Source organism: Homo sapiens, chromosome 6 (assembly GCF_000001405.40).
Source record: "Homo sapiens chromosome 6, GRCh38.p14 Primary Assembly".
NCBI classification, from domain to species: domain Eukaryota; kingdom Metazoa; phylum Chordata; class Mammalia; order Primates; family Hominidae; genus Homo; species Homo sapiens.
Window position 1 is genome coordinate 168,365,796 of NC_000006.12, and position 7,134 is coordinate 168,372,929.

The window sequence follows — 7,134 nt, forward strand, 5'->3', positions numbered from 1 at the left end:
GGAAGAAACACATGAGCAGAAAGTCATTAAGCAGCTGCGTCTAGGAGGGCTGTCACCTTGCAGCCACCGAGAGGCTCCTCAGAGCACTCAGGACCACTGGGCGGGGTGAGCGGGCCCAGACTCTCCATCGGGATCCTTTCCCTGGGACTGGGAGCTGCCGCCTTTGCATTCTGGTCTCCCAGGGTCAGCACGACTGACGGCAGCACGGGGCACGTCTCCACACCGACCCCACCGTGACCTACCAGGGCCAGGGCTCCAAGTCCCCATGGAGTCACTGCTGGAATTAGGAGCAGCTAAAACCAACGGTGTTGTAAAAAGTAAAGTAGAGGTTCCCCTTCAAAGAGACTCTCCTCCCTGTCTTATTAGAAATAAACAGTAACTTCTCTTAGAAGCAAAGCAAAATTTATCCAAAGACCTGTGCTGACATTCTTAAATATCTGCTAGCCGTAATAAATCAATGTACTTTATGCTCTTAGCTCCCACAATTTAGCCTAAATAGTTGCCCTGGCATGCTTACACTGGTCCAAGCGGGCATTAGGCCATAGCCTGTTTCTCTTCCTTATTTGAAGGTGTTTTTACCTTTCTCAGCATTCCACAAGTTACTTCCTCCTTCCTTTGTTCTCCGCTGCCTTTGCCTCTTTTAAAAAGTTCTAAGTTGCTAGGTAGTCGGGACAAATACAGAATGTGAGGTCCCATTCCATCCAATGGAAACCAGACACAGCAGTAGGGTGGACGCATCAGGTTATAAAAGACCCTGTCTCCTTTGTTCAGTGTACTCTCGTGGCAAAACTACTGGCGAGCGTACCCTTTCTGCACAAAGTAAAAATGGCCTTGCTGAATAAATTAAATTTATGTTCAAGTGCTATTTCTTTGCGGCACCGGAGAACAAGCATTTCCAACAGTGTCCCCTGCGCCATATCTGGCCACACTTCCTCCTCCCTTCCTGGTGCTCATTCAGTCACTTGTTTGGAAAATGTTTATTAGGACCTAGAGAACTGGCGGTGTGGTTCGCTGTTTCCTGTACCTCAGGTGTAGCCATTAAGAGAGTAATAAATCTGACTGCATGCATATCAACAGGTGAGGAAAACTGGTCACAAATAAAAGCACATCATCATTTTATTTTGGTAGAAACATACATGACGAAAATTTTGGAAGGACAATTTTGAGTGGTGGATATGTGTCACTTCTACTATCCTTGGATAGAGGAATTTTGGGTTATTTTTATCTTTTATTTTACACTTTCAATATTGATTATTACAAAACACGTGTATCTTTCATATTTAGGAAAAATCAAGTAAATCTATTTCAACGTTTAAAATATATTGAAGCACTGCTCCATAAATATTATTTTAAGAAGAAAGTATTACTCCAGGTTCACGGAGAAGGAAAAAAAAAATCACAAGAAGGCTGTTTCCTGAGGCCTATTTACAAAACATTCACATTGATCAACTTTGGAAGTCAGGCTCTCAAAGGAAATGTGCACAGAGGTGCCCATGTCTGATATTCTTATCCTGTAGAGGAAAGGAAGTCAGCCCAAGCGGGTCTGAGGCTCACACACTGACCACGGAGGAAACCACACTCCGGGTTGCTTTGCCCATCGGCGGCAGGGCCGGACCTCAGGGCTCTCCTGACACTGGCGTGTTCCAGTCCTGGCTGCATCTGAGAATCACCTGGAAACTTTAAAAACGCGGGTGCACGGTCCCGCGGGGCTTCTGATTCACTCAGCCTGGGGTGTGGCCTGGCCATCAGGACTTTAAAGCTCCCCAGGATGTTCTAAATATCCTGCCAGGGCTGAGAGCCTCTGCACTTTATCATGCTTGCTCTCCAATCCCGGCTAACTGGCTCCTGGCCACAATCCCAGGTGAGCTGTGGTCAGACGCATTTGTGCTGGAAGGCTTCGCAGCTTGGCTGGATGGGGGATGTCTGGTTTTGGCCCAATTTCTGCCAGATGATAGATGATCTCACTGCTTCACTTCAATCGTCTCTAAAATGGATCTGGACGTCTTTTAACCTTATGTCTTCCATCTGCAAACACAGTGAGTAACATCAGAGATGATCAATGCGAATACGGCCCCAAGAAATTGCAAACAGCTCTCTAATATCGCTAATACCTTTTACTATTATGCAGTCAAGATTAACCCAATGCTGGGCAGATTAAAATTATGTTCTTAGTTGGAGCCTCTAGGTGAAAACCTCGTCTTAGTAAAACTGTACTTACAGTCAAATTCCACTGACACTCAAAGCGTTACTATTATTTTCATTTTTATCTTAAAAATTATTTGCAGATTCACTGGCTCTCCTTGAATCTCTCAGTGTTTTGCAACTCCATTTTAATCTCTTTTCAAGGTTCTGACAAATGCCATGACAAATGAGAAAAGAGTGTTGCATTTAAACAAAAAGTTTAGCAAGAGGAGAGGCCGTGACACTGGAGATGGAGGAGGCACTCCAGTTCAGTTGTGAGCAGTCCTGTCCGGATTCCTTCCTGTCCGGATTCCTTCCTGTCCAGATTCCTTCCCTGGCAGAAATCAAACTTGCCATGAGCTGTGAGTAGTCCTGTTTGGATTCCTTCCGTGGCAGAAATCAAACTTGCCATGCATTTGTTCCTTCTATCCTCTCTCTTTGAATTTCAAAGAAGAACTGGAAAAACAGTAATTATTCAAGATTTTAAACTGTAATGCAGTGAAATACTCCTTTCCTCAGGATAGCAGGGTCTTTCCTGGAGGCAGGAATGTGCGACATCCTTTGGAAAAAGTTCTCTTATTCACGGTGTTTCGCAAACCTGGCAATGTGTTCAAGTCAGCCGGGGGCTTCAGGAGGGAGAATTTCCCAAGAAGAAGGTCACTTCTGGACTCGCTTTCTGGGACATCAACGGACTCACAGAGAATCCGAAAATCAGAGAATCCGTGGCAGGGGAAGGCAGAGGTTGCCTGTTCCTTTACTTAGAAGGAGCTGAAGGCCTTTGTGAGGACAGGTCCATCCAGGAAGCTCCTTTGGGGAAACCAAGCAGAAAGGAGGCCTCAGGAAATTCCCTGAGACACAGACTGTAAGTATCCACCCCCCACCCCAGGCTCCTTATTTTGGTCCTCTCCCTGCTTACATACCAATTACAATGCCTAGGTCAGGACCAAAACACAGGAGAAGGTAACAGCAGTAATGGACATAGGAGTGAGGCCACCTGGCCAAGTGTGATCTTGCTTCCAGGACCGTCGAATGCACACACAGCCAAACGGATGTGAGACCACACAGCTTATCCTGCCGCCTGCCTTCTGCAGCTGTGTTTCTCAGCTTTCCTCCCACCCCAGGATTCAGCCTGCCTGGCCCAGCGCTGCCCCTTCTGCTGTCCTGAAGGTCTTACCTCCTGCGGCTCCTTCTGTCCCATCCTGGTGGCTGCCCACACCCATCTTTCGAGTGCCCACCTGTGCAAATCCCAGCACTGCCTCCCTCCTTCTGTATGTACTGCTCAACCCTGCACCCCACCCTGCTCCCCACACCATGGTGGGAAGAAGCCCCCTCTTTTCCTCCCTGTGTCCTGCACCTGGAGCAGAGCCCACGTGACGGAAACCCAGGAGCTTTCCTTGAGGGAATAAAAGCGAATAGGACTGGGCGCAGTGGCTCATGCCTGTAATCCCAGCACTTTGGGAGGCCGAGGCGGGCGGATCATCTGAGGTCAGGAGTTTGAGACCACCCTGGCCAACATGATGAGATCCCGTCTGTACTAAAAATACAAAAATTAGCCAGGCGTGGTGGTGGGTGCCTGTAATCTCAGCTATTTGGGAGGCTGAGGCAGGAGAATCGCTTGAGCCCGGGAGGTGGAGGTTGCAGTGAGCCGAGATTGCGCCGTTCGCACTCTAGCCTGGGCAACAGAGCCAGATTCCATCTCAAAAAAAAAAAGGAACGGAAGGCTCAGGTCAGTGCTGTGCTAGGCTCTTCAAATACTTGCTCTGGTATTTAAATTAAAACAATGTATCTAGTTGAGCTTCTTGTTTACATTTTTTTTTAAAGACAGGAAGATGCTTCCATTTTCCCACAGTTAATTGATTCTATCACCTACTAAAAGTAGGAAAGAGCTCTGGATGGAAAAGCCCCTTCCATCCCGACAGATGCTGAACACCAATCCACAGCTGCTTTCCAGCCCCAGGGAGAAATCCCACGTGGGCCTCGTGTGGTGCGTGCACACAAAACACAAGACGCACACGCTCACCAGCAGGTCATCCACGTGACGTTTACATTTCATGCTGTACCTGACGCTGCGTCCCTACAACATAAAATCACAGTGTGTTGCTTATAGACCTGAACCCTCAATATAATGTCACATCCGACTGTACACAATGTTTCTATGATGAATACGTTTTCGGTGCAATGAGAAAATGAACAATCAGCACAAGTGTGAGCTGTGTCTTAGAGTTACTTTATTGGTAACATACAATGCTGTTTCTTTTTATTGTTACAATAAAATGAACCCATAAACTCTGTGCTATAGTGCCCAGGAGCTGACAGACAGGAGAGGGGCTGTGACTGCCTCATTAAGAATTCATGAGAAGATTTGCCCGGAGCTGGGGAGGCCTGGCCGGCCTCCCTCTCCCGCGCTTGTTCCTGAATTAAAGTGTTCACGTGGCAGGGCCCGCTTTGGACAGCATCACCACTGCCACCAGGGGGCACCCTCGGCTCACGCTGAGCCCGGCCCTCCTGCCCGCGGTCGGGCTGGGACCGTCCTCTGGGCCTGCATCCGGCCTGGGACCCTTCTCCTTGTCTGTGCCCGGGCTGGAACCCTCCTCTGGGTCTGCGTCCAGGCTGGGACCCTCCTCCTTGTCCGCGCCCGGGCTGGGACCCTCCACTGGGATGCAGAAAGAGTCCTGGGACGAGTGGACGTGCACAGAGGTCTCCACAACTCCCTGCAAGCTCGGTTACACCCAACCTCAAATCATCTTCTCTCCACCACGCTAGAGCCAACCACGCCTCCCGAGGAGCAGGTGCCTCCTCTCTGAGTGGCCGGAGAGACCCGGATGTGATGTCAGCGGCGCAGCAGGCGAGAAAAGCGGGGAAGGGCGTGGGGTCAATCGGCTGACGGCAGGAGCCCGGGGGGATCTTTCCAAGGCGTCTTGGCGAGTCCAGGCTGGGCCCTGGATGTCGTGGCCGCAGGGTCGGGGTGTGGTTCCCCGGGAGCGGCAGAGCTTGTGTCCCCGCTTTGTCCCCTCAGGTTGGTGGGCACGTGGCACCCCAGGATACACAGGACTGTGTGATTTAGAAAAACACCACGCGGACGAATTGTTATTTTGCAAACCTGGCTTGTAATGAATGCTTTGATCAGAAAATGCAAGGCTGCCTGACCCCCTTTCTGTCATCTTTGAAAGAAGGAGGCAGAAGCCACGATCTGACCAGCACAGGAGCCCAGCCTGGAAAGTCAGGAGAGATGAGGCTGCCGGCCAGATGCACGTGTTTATGAAACAGCCTAGGCAGGATTTGGGGAGCGAGGGCCCTGCCTTTTCCCCTACATCACTTGCCCTTAACCATTCTCATGTTAGCTTTGGAGCCAGCTACATTTCCACGAGGCTCGCTCTAAAGTAACACCAACTTTTTAAGCGGCAAATGTTTGAAGGTGCCCACCAGCATGTTCCTCACTGTGAAATGCCTCGTTTGATCCCGCAGGGTCAGAGGTGAGAGCTGCTGGGGACCTATTTGTTGCCATCACTGATCAGACTAATTTAAAAAGAAATGACTGCTTGAGCCTCACGTGACCAGCCTGAGACGAACTGATCTTAGGAAAAGCTGCACACCTCCTGTGGCCACGACTGATGATGGGAATAAATTCGTTTCCAGAGCTTGACAGGAAAATCACCTCCCTTCAGAAAATGACTAACAGTGTTTTGTGTTTGATACCACCTTTTAGCTTGTCCCTCAGGTCTGATTTAACCTGCGGGTAGAGTTGATTCTAGTCATCTTGCCATGTCTCCTCGTCCTACAAGGACACCAGCCATTGGATGAGGGCTGGCCCTAACCCAGGATGACCTCATCTGAATTGCAGTACATCTGTAAAGAGTCTATTCCAAGGAAGTTCATGTTCATAGGTGCTGAGGGGAGGGATGGGACACCTCTTTCTAGGGGACACAATTGAACCCATAGCCAGTGGTCCGGCTGCATGGACAGGGAGGCCGCCGAGGTGCCTCCTGTCCCCCGTGCAGAAGGTCACGGACTTGCAGGAGTGGCTCTCCCACCATTAGACGGTGCTGCAGCCTCAGGGACGGGCCCCCCAGTGCTCCTCCCTCCTCAGAGGGGAAACTGATCCCGGGACCTGCACTTCTCAGGGACGTGGTGCTGTTCCCATGCTCTGTACTCTGATTCTGAAAAGACCCGCCCAGGACGCCGTGGCCTGGTGATCCTGGCCTCCACATGCAGTTCCCCGGAGGGCTGGGAGGGGATGTTGGGAGAAGTGAGGAATGATCATGGCTGTTCAGGTGCCTTTGGGAGGAACCTTGGTTAGACACCCAGGACCCAAGCTGGCGAAAACGGCCGGAGGCACTGGAGCCAGGCGTCAGAGGTCAGGCCCAGCAGCACCAGGTGTACATGCACATGCACACTGGCCCAGGCACATGTAGCCACGCCCATGTACATGCACACACACACATGAATGCCTACGCATGTGTGCAGCATGCACCCCCATCACAGGCCAGGCCCATGTACACGCACACACACAAAAACACCCACATATATGTGTGCAGCACTCACCCACATCACAGGCTGGGCCCATGTACATGCCCACACACATGAACGCCCACACATATGTGTGCAGCATGTACCCACATCCCGGGCTGGGCCATGGCCAGGCGTGTGGCCTTCCAGCTCAGGGCTGCCCCTGGGGTCTTTGTCTCATGGTGAGGCAGCGTCTGGGCTTTCCCCCTCAAACCCAGGGCTGGCGCCATGACCCATTCTGTGTGGCCGCCTGTCTCTTTCTCAAAAGAGTGGTCTCATGGAAGGTCTTAGAGCTGACACCTGGGTGAGGATAACAAAGCCTCATTCACCGGGCTGTGCTCATTTTATGGCCAATGTTTGGTTCCCTTGAAGACCCAGGCTACTTTGATGTGAACGTTTGCTCCTTCAGAAGTCAATGTTGTTGATTTGGAGCAACGGTTCCCCTAA

General features: G+C 50.8%; 1 long non-coding RNA gene across 1 annotated transcript; it reads left to right on the forward strand.

The window, feature by feature from the left end:
• Window positions 1-1,804: 1,804 nt before the first annotated feature.
• Window positions 1,805-4,489, forward strand: LOC107986549 (uncharacterized). Its single transcript, XR_001743904.3, has 3 exons — window positions 1,805-2,036; window positions 2,347-3,043; window positions 3,202-4,489. It is a non-coding gene; the product is annotated as an uncharacterized LOC107986549 (long non-coding RNA).
• Window positions 4,490-7,134: the final 2,645 nt, after the last annotated feature.